Source organism: Homo sapiens, chromosome 4 (assembly GCF_000001405.40).
Source record: "Homo sapiens chromosome 4, GRCh38.p14 Primary Assembly".
In the NCBI taxonomy this organism is placed as follows: domain Eukaryota; kingdom Metazoa; phylum Chordata; class Mammalia; order Primates; family Hominidae; genus Homo; species Homo sapiens.
In genome coordinates, this window is record NC_000004.12 from 14298923 (window position 1) to 14314367 (window position 15445).

Here is a 15445-nt window from a genome sequence, read left to right on the forward strand (position 1 = left end):
GCGGATCACGAGGTCAGGAGTTCGAGAGCGACCTGGCCAATATGGTGAAACCCCATCTCTACTAAAAGAACAAAAATTAGCCAGGCATGGTGGCATGCACCTGTAATCCCAGCTACTTGGGAGGCTGAGGCAGAAGAATCGCTTGAACCCGGGAGGTGGAGGTTGCAGTGAGCTGAGATTGTGCCATTGCACTCCAGCCTGGGTGGCAGAGCAAGACAGTGTCTCAAAAAAAAAAAAAAAAAAAAAAAAAAAAAAAAAAAAAAAGAATGATGGTGTCTCTCTCAGCATCATTGCAGCAGGGAACTCTGATATCCTCTGTCCCTGTGTTCTGTTCTCTTAGCATAGGAGAGGAAACTTCCAGGGAAAAATTAGGGTGAATACAGCTGATGACGATAAGTGTGGGTGAGCAGGTGAGATGTCACAGGCAAGGCAGAGATACTCTGGATTCTGTCCCAGTTTTGCAGAGTACAAATGGGATGCAAATGGTAAGATAAACCTCGTATTCTCCCTTAGGATAGAGAATGCTAGTTCCTGAAAATGTGGCAAAGGAAGCCCAGTGAATTTCCAAGTATGTCTATTTACTTACATGTATTCTCAGCTCACAATTTAGCTTTGTGATTGTGTTCTGAGGATCATGAGTATAATTATACTAATTAATTAACTGATCAAAAAAAATCATCCAATTGTCTAAAATTGTAAACAACTGAACAGAGATACTGTCCTCCACCTGCAAGGCTGGCAAAGAACCAAGAGTTTGGTAGCATACTGTTTAGTGCAGCTATTGGAAAATTCCACATCACAGCAATAATGGAAATATAAAACGGCACCTCGTCCTTGGTGGCTATTTAACATATTCCCCTGAACCAAAAAGCCCATATGCTTTGATGCAGCAATTTTATTATTCAGCAAATATACCACCACATGTATGAAGTATTGTGTCTATGTTTGTGTGTGTGTTTATACACAGACATACACTATTCCATTTCAGCAGATTGGAAACAACGAAAGTGCTCATCAGTGAGATATTGGTTAAATCACTTGGCATAAAACCATTCCATGGAATTTAAGTAATCATTCCAATTGAAGAGATTCTTTATGCAGTGATAATGAACTTGAGGATGTATTTTAAGTGAAAAGAACACAAAGAATAGTATGTATGTATCATACACTACCATTTAGTATATGGGTAAAAATTATGGGGAAAGGAAATACAGACATGTTTTATATGTATAAAATAACTAAGAAATAATAAAGTTATAAAAATTTGTCAGCATTGACTTCATATGACCATCTCTTTTGGATGTTGAAATATGTGAATAATAACAAACAAAAAAATAAAATTTGTTCAGACAGATGAATCTTCATTAAACTTATTCTCATGTATTGACTAGATTTTCTTCTCTCCTTGTCTTTTTTTGTTCCTTCCTTCATTTCTTCTCTCACTTTTCTTATTCTTTCTTTTTTTTCCCTGATTTTCTTCATCTTCTTTTGTCCTGATATCCCCTTTCCCACACTCCTTCCTCTTTTATCTCTCTTCTTTTCTTTCCACCTTTGTAACTGGTGGGTCATGAGGCATTGTAAAGAGTAGGGGTTTTTTTTAGAAGCTCTGCTTGGGCCCAGAACACTTGCCCTTCAAGGATGCATCCACTGGAAGCTTACAGCCTCCCTCTTCTCCAGATGACCACCATTTCTCCAGCACTACTTTGCTCTATTTTCTCCTTTAATAGTGTATCATACACTAGGGGACAGAGGTCAATGGGATATCGACATTAACCTTAGTCAAGACATTATATGACAGTGTGTGTAAGGAAAATTCAGGGTAGGAGATGTGAGCTTGCAGAACTTATAAATCCAACAGTCCAATAATGGGGAAGTACAAGAGAAACAGCCATGAACACTGTTTGTAAGCATCAGAAAAGTCTTTAAAGAGGAGACTATTCTTTCTTTGGATTTTTAAGAATGATTAAATGTAGATATGAAGAAAAAAAATCCCAGAAAACGTCTAGCATGTGTGAAGGCATAAAGAATTATAACTGTGTTTGGTGGAAGTGATTAAGTTTTTAAGTATGGCTGAAACCAAGGGTGGATAGTGTGAGGAAGGGGCTTGTAATGTTTGGGATGGGACTATAAACTCAAGAAAATAAAAGTGGACCCTAAAGAGTATTATGATTAACCAAATATGTATTGTGACAGTTAATCTTATGTATCAACTTGACTGGGCCAGGAGATGCCCAGATAGCTGTTTCTGGATGTGTCACTGAGGGTGTTTCTAGAAGAGATTAGCATTTGAGTTGATAGATTAAGCAAACCACATGGCCCTCCCCAATGAGTAAGCATCATTCAGCCATATTGAGGGCTGAATAAAATATAAAGGTAGAGAAATTTTGTATTAACTCTGCCTGACTGAGCCAGAACATTCGTCTTCTCCTGGCCTCTGCATTCCTAGTTCTCAGGCCTTCTGACCTAGAGTGGAATGCACACCATCATTTTTGTGGCTTTCAGGACTTTAAGGTACACCTCCAGCCTTCTTGAGTCTGCAGCTTGCAGACAGCAGAGAGTGGGACTTCTCAGCCACCATAATCATAACATGGGCCAATACCTTATAATAAATTTCCTCATATATATAAAAAGATATATATGTGTGTTTCTGTATGCGTAAATATGTGTGTATGTGTGTGTATGTGCATGTGTGTGTGTTGTAATACATTTTGTTTCTCTGGAGAACACTAATATATGTGTGATGCTAAAAAATTGGTATTTTATTCTGTAGCTTGAATAAATGGAGTCATTAAAGTCTCCACCATTCTCTCTTAACCACTTAAAATATGTAAGATCACATATTACAAGTCACCATGTTAGTCTTTCCCCACTCCTAATTTGGGGAAACCCCCCCAAGTTTACATTTTTAAGGGAGGATGTGTATTAGTCTGTTCTCACCGTGCTATGAAGAAATACCCAAGGCGAGGTAATTTATAAAGGAAAGAGGTTTAATTGACTCACAGTTCTGCATTGCTGGGGAGGCCTCAGGAAACATAATGTAAGGCAAAGGAGAAGCAAGCACCTTCTTCAAAGGGTGGCAGGATGGAGTGAGTGAAAGCAGGGAAAATGCCAGATGCTTATAAAACCATCAGATCTCTTGAGAACTCACTATCATGAGAACAGCATGGGGTAAACCACCCCCATGATCCAATTACCTCCATCTAGTCCCACCCTTGACACATGGGGATTATGGGGATTACAATTCCTGATGAGATTTGGGTGGGGACATGACACAGAGCCAAACCATATCATTATGTATTTGGAGCAAAGTCATGGAATATACATGGGCATTAGTTGTTTTCACTCTTGTAACCTCACTGGATGATTGTAGATGAGTACATATTTGTGGTACAGAAGATGAAATAGGAAACTTGTTCTAAAAAAAGACTTGAAAATCAATATAATGATTTGCCTTTCTGTATGAAATATTCACATATATCTGCATGTGTAACCTGAGATGATGTACAGACATAAAACTTTCTCATTAGAGGGGTAAAGAGATGGGGAAAAAATCAACAAGCTTTAAATTGCGAGTCACAGTTGCAGTAAAACACTTATGACCACACACAAATGAGACAAGAGAATTATGTTCCTAGATTCAGAAAAGCTTAGTAAGCCCATTGAATTTAAAAAATTATCCCCACAAGAAATTTGTTGTTTGCATGTTTTTGTTTTTGTTTTCTCCCTCAGCAAATTGAAGATACTAGCTTTAGGGCAGAATGAAAATTTAGCAGAGAAAATGTCCAAGTCTATCACTCCCTAGCTTTTGTTTGGTATTGTTAAGAAATCCTGTATCTTCATTTCAGCTCACCTCAGGAGAAATGATAAGCCCTCCAGAGATAAATTCCATTTCTCCATACATATCTGATAGAAGAAGTTTAGAAATTTTTTAGAACTTGAGCTGCTTTAATTCTCAAATGGAGTCAGGCACCTAGAATCAATGCTCTACTTCCCTGACCATCCCATTCTTGATTTTCTTGCTTCATTTTAGATAGTTCTCAAATTTAGACAAGATTATACATGATCTACTTTAAAAAGTACAACTTTTAATTGCCTTTTGATTCATTAAAGATAACTTGGGTGTTTCAGTGCTCAGGGATATTAGTGACATTGATTCAACTCTTTCAGTTTTCAGAGTTGGAAACAGATAACATTATGAGTTCTGAGAATGAGCACTGGATCATGAATGAGGAGAACTGGGTTTTACTATTAGCAGTGCAGTTTATTATCTGCATGATATTGAAAAGTTCTTTTCCCTTTCTGGACCTCCGTTGCCTTACATATAAAATTTGTATGCTGCTTTAGAAATTCTTTATAATCTTTTTCTGTGCTGTGCTGCTATTCTGTCTGCCTGTCTCTCTCTCTGTGTGTGTGTGTGTGTGTGTGTGAATATATATATAAATATATATATACACTTTGAAATAATAAAATAAATCTAAAAATACGTATACTTATTTAATAAGTATTATATTAAAAGTATATATACATGTATATATACTTATTAAATACACACTTCTCTATGCCAAGGTGGCTTGAGCTAGGCTCTGTAGTGTTGTATTCTCTGATCTCTGCCTTCCAGGCTATCTCATATGCATGAAAATTATATTTGGAATCAAATAATTCTCTAAAATTTTATTTTAGAAATGTGTGTAATTATCTGTAGCAAGATATTAATGCTTATAATAGATTCATAAGGAAGACTGGGACTCTCAAAACTTTAGAACTACTAGTTTAATTGGTTATTGAAAACTAATTTGGTATTTATGTAATTGAGTCAAATAGTTAAGATACTTTCTGTCATGGATATTGCACTTTAGGAGAGAAATAGACAACAAACATTAACAAGCAAATACAGAAACAAGCTAAATTCAAATGGGGACAAGTGATCTAAAAAGTAAAGTAAAATAGGATGGTACATTATAGAGTGATGGGAAAATAGAGCGTTTAGATTCAATAATCAAGACTGAGCCTGTGGGAAAGTGATGACAGCAACATAGGAGAATAGAAAGCCCTGAATTCTTCTTCCTCCCCACAGACATACCAATTCAGCCACAATTAACAGATTCCTTTTGTGAGAAATCAGAAACTAATGGAAAAGCTCGTGCACTTCGGGAGAACACACAGCCAGACTTAATGGAGCTGGTGGGGAGATCTAGAGCTTCCTCTCTCCAGAGGTCCTGCTCCTGGCACAGTGTCATACAATCAGAAAGAAACTCCAATCTGCCAGTTTTACCCAGAGGGAGAGAAGGGGCTGATTCATACACTCAGCACCCACATTTTCCAAGGGATATGTCAAAAGACTGGCTCTGTGTCTTACTAGTCTTGGAGTTCTGATGGATGTGGCACAGACTAGAACGGAGGCAGCAGGTTGGGCTGGTCCCTTCTCCTCAGCACACAGTGGGCAAAATGAAACCCTTGGTGGAAGTATAGACTGATAGAACAGAACAGAGTCTAGAAATAGATGAGCACATGTAAAGTCAACTGATCTTCCACAGGGATACCAGGAATACACAATGAGGAAAGGATAGTCTACTCGATGAATGATGTTGAGAGAACTGAGCATACACATGCAAAAGAATGAGACTGGACTCTTGCCTTACACTGTATGCAAACTCAAACTGGACTAATGACTTAAAGGTAAGACCTGAAACCATAAAACTCCTACAAGAAAACACAGGGGAAAAGCCTCATGACATTGGTCTTGGCAATGATTTCATGGAAATTACACCAAAATCATAATCAATAAAAAGAAAATAAATAAATGGGACTACATCAAACTAAGAAGATTCTGCACAACAAAGAAAAAAATCAATGCAGTGAAAAGGCCACTAATAACAGAATGGCAGAACATATTTGCAAACCGTATATCTGACAAAGGGTTAAGCTCCAAAATATATCTGGAATTCCTACAACTCAACAGTAAAATAAATCTCAAGAAATAACAGCAAAAAACCTGTTAATCTAATCAAAACTGAGCTAAAGGAGTAAATAAACATTTTTCCAAAGAGTACATATAAATGTACAATAGATATATGAAAAAATGCTCAACATCACAAATTATCAGGGAATGCAAATCAAAATCATAACGAAGTATCACCTTATACCTGTCAAGATGGCTATCTTAAAAAAAAATGTTGATAAGCATATGGCTAAATTGGAGCCCTTGCATATTTTTGGTAGGAATGCAAAATGGTAAAGTCACTCTGGGAAACAATGTGGAGGTTTCTTAAAAATTTTAAATAGAACTACCAAATGATCTAACAATCCAATTGTTTGGTATTTATCTAAAGTAATTGAAATCAGGATATCAAAGAAGTATTCGTGTTCCTATATCCATTACAATAACCAAGATGTGGAAATAATCAACATGTCTATTGATGAATGGATAAACAAAATGTGGTATGTACATACATTGTGTGTGTGTTTATACACAGACATACACTATTGCATTTCAGCAGACTGGAAACAATAAAAGTGCTCATCAGTGAGATATTAGTTAAATCACCTGGAATGGAATAAAATACAATGGAATACTATTTAGCTTTGAAAAAGAATGGAATTCTGTAATATGTGATAACATGGGTGAATCTTGAGGACATTATGCTAAGTGAAATAAGCCAGTCACAAAAGGACAAATACTACATAATTCCACTTATATGAAGTACCTAAAATAGTCATTATAGAATGAAAGAATGCAACGGGGTTGCCAGGGGCTGGAGGAAGGGAAAATGGATTATTACTAATCAATGGGCATAAAGTTTCAGTCAATCAAGGTATTTAAGCTCTAGAGATCTATTGTATAACATTGTACCTATTGTCAATAATAATGCATTCAACACTTAAAAAACTTTAAGGGGTAGATCTCATGTTAAGTGTTCCTTCCACAATAAAAGAAAAAGAATGGCTCTATGAAGAGTTGGGCTTTGAGTTCAGACACTGAGCTCTGAATGTCACAAGTCAGCCAGCCATGAGACAGCACCGGGGTAGAGCTTCTCACAAAAGGAAACAGAATATGCAAAGACTCCAAGAAGAATCAAGCTGTGCTTATTCCAGGAATTAAAAAAAAAAAAAAAAAAAAAGGAAGAAGAGGACAAAGAGGCAGCAAAACAGGCCATGGAAAAGAGAGGAGAAAAAGGCCTGTGTGGTCAGGACAGAGTGAGAAGAGGAAGTGAGATAAGGTTAGGTCCACAGTCTTTTTTTTTTTTTTTGAGACAGAGTCTCGCTCTGTCACCCAGGCTGGAGTGCAGTGGCGTGATCTCAGCTCACGGCAAGCTCCACCTCCCAGGTTCACGCCATTCTCCTGCCTCAGCCTCCCGAGTAGCTGGGACTACAGGCACCCGCCACCATACCTGGCTAATTTTTTGTATTTTTAGTAGAAATGGGGTTTCACCGTGTTAGCCAGGATGGTCTCGATCTCCTGACCTTGTAATCTGCCCACCTTGGCCTCCCAAAGTGCTGGGATTACAGGCATGAGCCACAGCACCCGGCCGGGTCCACAGTCATTAAGTAGAGCCTGATAGGTCATAGTAAAAATTTAAAGTTTTTTTTCAGTCATGACAGAAAGCCATGGACTGTTCTTAGATGGAAGCATGGCATGGCGTGATTTACTTTTTAATTTTATTTTTTAAAATGTTTTGTTTGTTTGTTTTTTGAGACGCAGTCTTGCTCTGTTGACCAGGCTGGAGTGCAGTGGCACAATCTAGGCTCACTGCAACCTCCGCCTCCCGGGTTCAAGCAATTCTCCTGCCTCAACTTCCCCAGTACCTGGGATTACAGGCGTATGCCACCATGTCTGGCCACTTTTTGTGATTTTAGTAGAGACGAGGTTTCACCATGTTGGCCAGGCTGGTCTTGAACTCTCAACCTCGTGATCCGCCCACCTTGGCCTCCCAAAGTGCTGGGATTACAGGTGTGAGCCACAGTGCCTGGCTGATTTACCTTTTATAAAGACCACTGGACTGCCATATGGAGAAGGGAGTGTAGTAGAAAGATGGGAGGACAGCATGGAGAAAAATGCCATTGCCCAGGTGACAGTGGTTGAGACAAGAGTGTCTGGAGTGGAGATAGAGTGGAGTGAACTGATTTTGCAAAAAGTTTTCAGCTAGACTCACTTGGATTCACTGATGGACTGGATGTGACAGCATGTGGAGTGAGGAACAAGAGGGTAATTCTAGGATGATTCTTAAGAGTAATGGGATCAACTCCTGTATGTAACAGAACTGAAGAGAACACACTTGCGTTTAACATAGTTAGGGAAGTGTAGTCAAAAGGTACTAAGGCTATACATAACCCAGAGATCAACGTGTACAGAGCAATAGTAATAATAATCACCTTTTATTGAATAAGTATTATTATGCTAATTTTACAAATTAGGAAAATAAATGACGCTAAATGTGGTTAAATATTTTGTCCAAGGTCACATGGTGAGACACTATAGTCTGCTTCTAGGAAGTTTTCATGAAATGGTGGCTGGAAGGCCATGTTTGCTCACTGCTCATTGCCACTTCTCCCGTGGATTCCTTATTCTTCTTTCTGTCTCTCCTCTCTGGTCTATGCCCCTCTTTGTTCCAGTTGGCCTTAGTCACAGACCACTACTCCTTTGCCTAGATTTCCCCCCAAACACGATTCACAGAAGGCATTCACACAGGAGAATTTTACAAGAGATTTGGATGCAGTGGCAGATGTGAGGTAGAAGGAAATAACGCATAACTCATAATTGAATATCAAATATTAAGTAGTTCTGCTATTTAAAAATGCTCTTGATTACACCTGCCATAGGTAATTCTCAATTGCCACTTTCTTTTATAATTTTTTTTGTTCCCTGGCTTTAAACTTTCACCTTCATTTTTCTCTAGACCGCTGCACCTCCTTTCTTATTGGACACTTCTTTAATACCAGGAATCTTCTATAGCCCTGATACAGGACGGTTTAATGATCTCCGTGTCACTCTGGCACATTTTGACTTTGTCTCCAAACACGTCTATTATGGTGAGCTCTTGTGTAAGACAGATTTTTTTTTTTCTCCTGAAATCGGCTTTGAACATCATGAGTTTGCTCCCTGTCGTATCTTCTCTCACTGGTTTTTCCTTCTTCCTTTCTCATTTACCATCTGTTTTTATTATACACAAACATAAATAAATATCTTCTTGGAAAAAATTGAATTGGTCCTTTGATAATCGCCTTGAGACTGTGTTTTTATTGCTCCTACTGTTCTATCCAGAAAGCTGAGCTTTTATGTCTGTGACTGAAGGTAAGACTTCAGCCTTCATCAAGTCAGTGAAAAATAGACTTGTGAAAGTCACACACCTTCTTTGTGAGTTGCAACCCTGCCAAGCCAATGTGAATCACCTGCCAAGTTTAATATGTCAGGTTGGGACATGTCTGTCCTTTGGTTTTATGCTCTTTCCAGTAAGGCTGGCAGTTTCATTATATTTATAAAGTTGTGTACATATTATAAGTACATGCCAGTCTTTACCCTACTCACTTTCATCTTTGGCCTTCCCACTTGCTAGTCTTTTCTATTCTTGGAAACCAGATAAGTCTTCCTCTGTCACAACTATGATTTTCCTGCTTCTAAATTAAGAACTTTTCACAATTCACCTACTGAACATGGAGCCTGCAGACTTGGCATCACATCTTGGCTCCTTGACCCAGAATCTGTGTGAACTTGGGCAAGTTACTTACATCATCAAGTTTAGTGTCAATCTCTGTAAAATGGTTACATTTCTTATCTCACAGGCTAATCATTAAGATTTATTTGGAAGTGTGTGAAAGAGTTTGTAAACTCCAATACGCGATTTGATATAAGTTGCAAATCTCCTTCTATGATGAAACTTAATCTTTTAGTCTGTTCTTCTTTTTTTTAGACAGAGTCTTGCTCTGTTGCCAGGCTGGAGTGCAGTGGCGCGATCTCAGCTCACTGCCACCTTCCCCTCCCGGGTTCAAGCGATATGGATCCTGTCATTCATAAACCATATGATCTTGGAAGAGTTGCCCCACCTTATTGAATATCAATCTCAGTGCCAACAAAATGGTTACTCTTATAAACATGCCCACCGCCAGTGTTAATTTAAAAATTATACAAAGTAGTTATAAGTAATAAAAATGTAGCAAAGGACAAAGTTAAGCTTTGTATTTTTTCAGAAGTTTCACCGTGCCTAGCAAAGTCTTGGATATGTAAAAACACATCCAAAGCAGAATTCACTACTTTTCTTGCTAAGCCACTATTATATTCTTACTTTCTGCAAATAGTCTCAATTTCTTAATGGTAGAAACAACTAGGATGTTTTTCACTCTTTCCTCTCCTTCACAGCCTGTCAGTAACCAAGCCCTATTGATTCTACTGATTAAATAGCTTTGAAATCCTCCCACTCTCTGCTGCAGCCTTTTTTAATTTAGATTTTCTAATTTTATTTTCTGGAAGACGGCATCAGCCTTCTCTCTGGTCTTTCCAATTTCAATTTATTTTCATTGTGTTATTCCATCTATCACTTGGTTACCAGAATAGGTATTCTTAAATTGAAATCTAATAGGACTTCATCCTGGCTCAAAGGTGTGCTATACTTTAAACATGGCTTTAGAAACAAACTGCCTGAGAACTGCCACTTAGTATCTTTGTGAGCTCAGTGGAATTATCTCTCAGTTCCTCAATCGACTCATGTGGTGACCATGAGTATGTGCCTCTCAGATCTCTGGCTGCAGGGAATCACAGGACTTCTCTCATAGCTGTCTCTGGCATGAAGATTTCCCATTGACCTTGTGGAACTTCCTCTGACCGTATTGCAGTTTTAAAATCTTCCACTCAACAGTTCTTCCTTTCTTACTCCTTCACAAAGGATAGACCTGCACTATGGTCTGACCTGCTCTCCTGGCCTCCGCTGGATCCCACTTCATTCTCCCTCACAGGTATTTTCCCTGATAAATCGCTTGCATATCTAACCTCTCAACATTTGCTTCTTGAAGAACCTGGATCAACCTACTTCATCTGTAAAATTGATATAATAATGGTATCTATGTTATAGGACTATAAGAAAGACGAAACATAATATAGCTATAAAGTGCTTTCAAAAGTTTCCAATGTCTACTAGGTGCTATAAAATTGTTTGCTACTATTAGCATCGTTATTAATTTGCTACTCAACATAGCATACACTTGCATGAAGTATAGCATACACTGTCACGTTTTCATCATTAGTCAGTTTCTTTTAAATATATATAATCCCCTCTGCCAAAAAAAAAAAAAAAAAAAAAAAAACCCACTCCCTTTTCATTCCAACCATGGAAAGTCATAATGACCTTTCAGGGTACAGCTCTGAATTCATCATCTATGAAATGCCTTTTCTAACTCACTTCCCTTTTCTTCCTACAGTCCCATGTATACCATCCTCCTACAACTTTTATTAACACTAATCTCATTGTGGGGCCACTGATTATTGGTTGCTACCTCCAATGCTTGAGTCCTTCAAGGACTTAGATTTTTATCACTTTTTTTTGTATGTGTTTGTAGTACTTTGCACAATACCTGGCACATTTTAGAGGCCAATAACATATTTTTTTTAATTTCTGAGAAAATGGATGTTAGCACATATGCATTGTATTGATTTAGTAGCAATGCAGGAATAAAATGAGCCACAATAGCACTCAAGCTGGAACAGCTGAACTTTCTTTGCTTGAGTAGAATCTAGAACACTCAAAACTTCTCAAAATTTTCAGCATCAGCCTGTGACTCAAAGACTAAGGTTTTTGAAATCCAAGTTAAATAGCTGTCCTTGGTTTTCGTGGGGAGGCACTGCTAATGAAAACTAGATGCTATTCTTCATAAATCACTTTGTCCTTCTACAAGTTCCTTTGGGCTCTAACAGGCTGTAATTCTAAGCCAAATTCAAGCAGAAGCTACTGAAAATTGAACATTGCTCCTAGTTTCATGGTTTTTATCTTGTTCCTTTAATAAATAATTGAATAAAGACAATCCTGAGGAAAAAAAAAGGGCTGAAAGAGTACGGTTCCTTGACATCTGTTCAAATCTTGTGCCTCATTTTCATATCCAGCTGATTATTTTTAGTCTGTGTTTCCACAGACCTGGTTATCTTCTTACTCTAATACTCATAAATGAACAATGATAATGACAACAAAACTTTCCATTTGTGTTTATTTATTAAACAAATTTTTTTGATCACCTGCACTGTTCTAAGCACTGAAGAAATAGTAACAAACAAAACAGACAAAAATAAAACAAAACAAATACACAAAGGCTCACCTGCCTTTATGGAGCTCACATACCAGGAGGGTGAGATAGATAACAAATAAATAAATGCGTAAGATGTTATATGGTGATTAGTATTGTGGAGAAAGGTAGGAAAAAAAAGCAGCAAGAGAATATAAAGTCCTCAGGGTCCAGGGAGTGTAAACTTTTAAAATAGGGAAAAATAGAGAAAGCCTTACTGGGAAGAAGACATTTGAAGAAGTACCTGATATAGATGAAAGGATGAAGCAGAAGGTATCTCAAGAATGGCATATCAGACAGAAAATACTAAGTCTTTGAGATGGAGTACGTCTAGAACATTTCAGGAACATCAAGAAACCAAGGTAGTGGGAACAGGAATCTCTAAAAGAAGAAAGTGGTAGCAGATGAGGTCAGAGAGATAACAGGGAGCTAGGCTTAGGTCATGGTGAGGTTGCTGGATTATACCCTGTGTGAGATGAAGACATACTAGAGGTCTTTGAATATATTTTTAGAGATTTCTGTGTACACATCTTGAATGAAGACCTTTATATTATACCATGTCCTCAGTAGGAATAACACACAGGGCCAGGAACCAAGAGATGGAAGCAGGTATGGCTCTCTTACTATAATTCCCAATGACCCACTCAGAAAATTTGAGCTTCCTGTACATGCAATGCTATGCTGTGCAATATTACAAGTCCTCATCTTCAAAAGGGGAACATTCCCTCAAGGGACCAAAGCAAGGGTTAGATATGGAGCTATGGCTATGCCCGGGCACTTTAGGTTCCTACTGTCTAGGGATCATAGGGAAAAAGAAGACTCATTTTCTAAAGCTAAAATGGAGTATGTTTGGTGCCCACATGATCCACTAGCCCAGTGGTGTTGACAAATGCACAAGTACCAAAATTCTGGCCTGAGAAGAGCATAGTAAGAAACTATGGGGCTCATATTCCTCCAAAGCAGGGTCTGGGCTTTGCCATAGGTAAGCCTCCAAGTTCAGCATAGGTGCCAGCTACAGGTAAAGGTGATATAGGTTAAGTCATGGAGAATGGATATAATGAGTTTCATCTGTGGTCCTAAGACTAACTGCATGGGAAGAATTGTAGCTCTTCTCACTAACATTACTCTTTTAATTTACCTCTCAGGAACCTAGGAGATGTTATACCCAAATGAATATAAAAAGGTGAATGTGAGCGGCACAAGGGGTGGACTTCAGAAGAAATAGTGATGAATCCCCAAGATGTCCTTCTTGGGAAAAACATATTGCCTTAGCTTCTGGAGGTGCTGAGGTCATAGCCTTCAGGTGTCAGAACCTTCAAGTCTTGTCTCAAGAGATCCATCTTGCTCAAAGTCATCCTCTTCCCAGGGCAATCTATTAATAATGGCTGGTTGAGGTGGGGTCTGTGAAGGTCCAGCTATTTCAGCCTAAGAAAGGAAAACATTAGGGGCCATTTTATTACCAGAGGCTCCTGTGGGTTGACTTGAGGTTATAAAGCCTACATCTCAACTCAACATCTCCCTCTGCCTGATCCTACTTTCTTTCCACAGCTGTTGATGATGACAAGGGCACTCCATAATAAATATTCTTCTTGATGAACTCTGTCTCGGAGTCTACTTCCTAAAGAACCACTCTTTCAGGGAAGGAGGTGCCTACTGTCTCATGAATGGCTCTTTTGTTCTGTTGACCACCGAGATTCATTCCAATAGTCAAATCTTAGAGATGCATGGGTGAATTTGGGTTAGAGAAATCTCAATTGGCCCAGCTTAAAATAGTGAGAAAATGTGAGACTTCCTGGAACTAACGATAGAGGAAGTGAGGAGAGTGAAAAATAAGCCAGAGAAGGAGAAACAGATCAGAAAACAGTATTTATACCATTTACTGGTGCTACATGAGGTAAAGCAAACCACTAGAAGAATTCTGGTGGCAGCATGATCAGAAGAAGGAGTAACGAGGATGACTGACGTGGGATTTTACATTGTTTGCCTTATGTGCATTGTTCCTTCATTTTATTTAACATCCAGTGAAGTGTGCCATTTACAGAGATCTTATATGGTAGCTTTTGTAAAAAGGGTCATATCTGAATTGATAAAATACAGAACAGGTAGGAAGCTGATCTATTAATGTATCAAATATATAGGAATCAGGAACTCAGAGTCATTGGTAACCGTGGTAATATAATCTCCAGTGAAGGTGCTGGTATTTCATCGTATTGAAATCTTAAGCAGTATTTGAGTTGTGTCTGTTTACTTGTTTGTTTAATCTTTTAGACAGTGCTTTCTTATGGGTAAGGACAGTGCCCATGATGCAACAAATTGCCAAGCTCATAATTAATACTCCTTAAATATTTGTGTAATAAATGTATATGGGCATGAATGACTATATTTAGTTGTACAGATATCTGCCTCCTCATTAAACTATGAACTTTTGTGGATCAGGATCACTAAAAAAAATTATTATGCAAAGTGCCTAGAACAACGTTTGACTCATAGTAAATGAGTTAATTGATGAATAGAATGCCTAAAAGCTGATACACACCAGAGGAAGACACAGGTGCCAAGGATCAATTTATTCTCTCAGCTCTTAATATAATATTCATTGCCTGATCTATAAAACTAGAGATGGGCCTGGTGAATACAACTTCTTTACTACCTGACACAATGTTAAGCTTTTAAGTAGAGGGTACTGGAGAGACACTGCAGGAGGAAGAGAATTTCCTGGTTCTGATAAGCTCTCCTGGCAGGATCTTGTAGAGCACTCGGCTTATCCAACTCCTGGATTCTGCAGCACCAAAATTTTCCAATGCTTTGCTCCGACAGCACGTGCAGCTTCTCCATTGCCCAGCTACTGTAATGCATGATGGTCAACTTCACCCAGTAGCTAGCAACTTCCTGCACAGCCATTCTTCTGTTGGTCTGGTTTATAATTGAGTGTCTCCAGTAAGACACCTATCTATGAACAGCTTTCTCCAGGACTATACAGGGAAGTTTTCTAACAAGTTTTGGAGAGTAATTACCAGAAAGTTTCTCTGGCATGGCATCACAGAGAGACTTCTCTGTTATCTAGTGAATGATGGTTGTCCCTTCTATAAGAAGGTCTGCATCTCAGCCCTGAGAGGCTACTCCTTTGGGCTCTCTATCTCAAACCTAGGGTCAGCCTGCTGCTTATATCTGCTATTTCTGTATA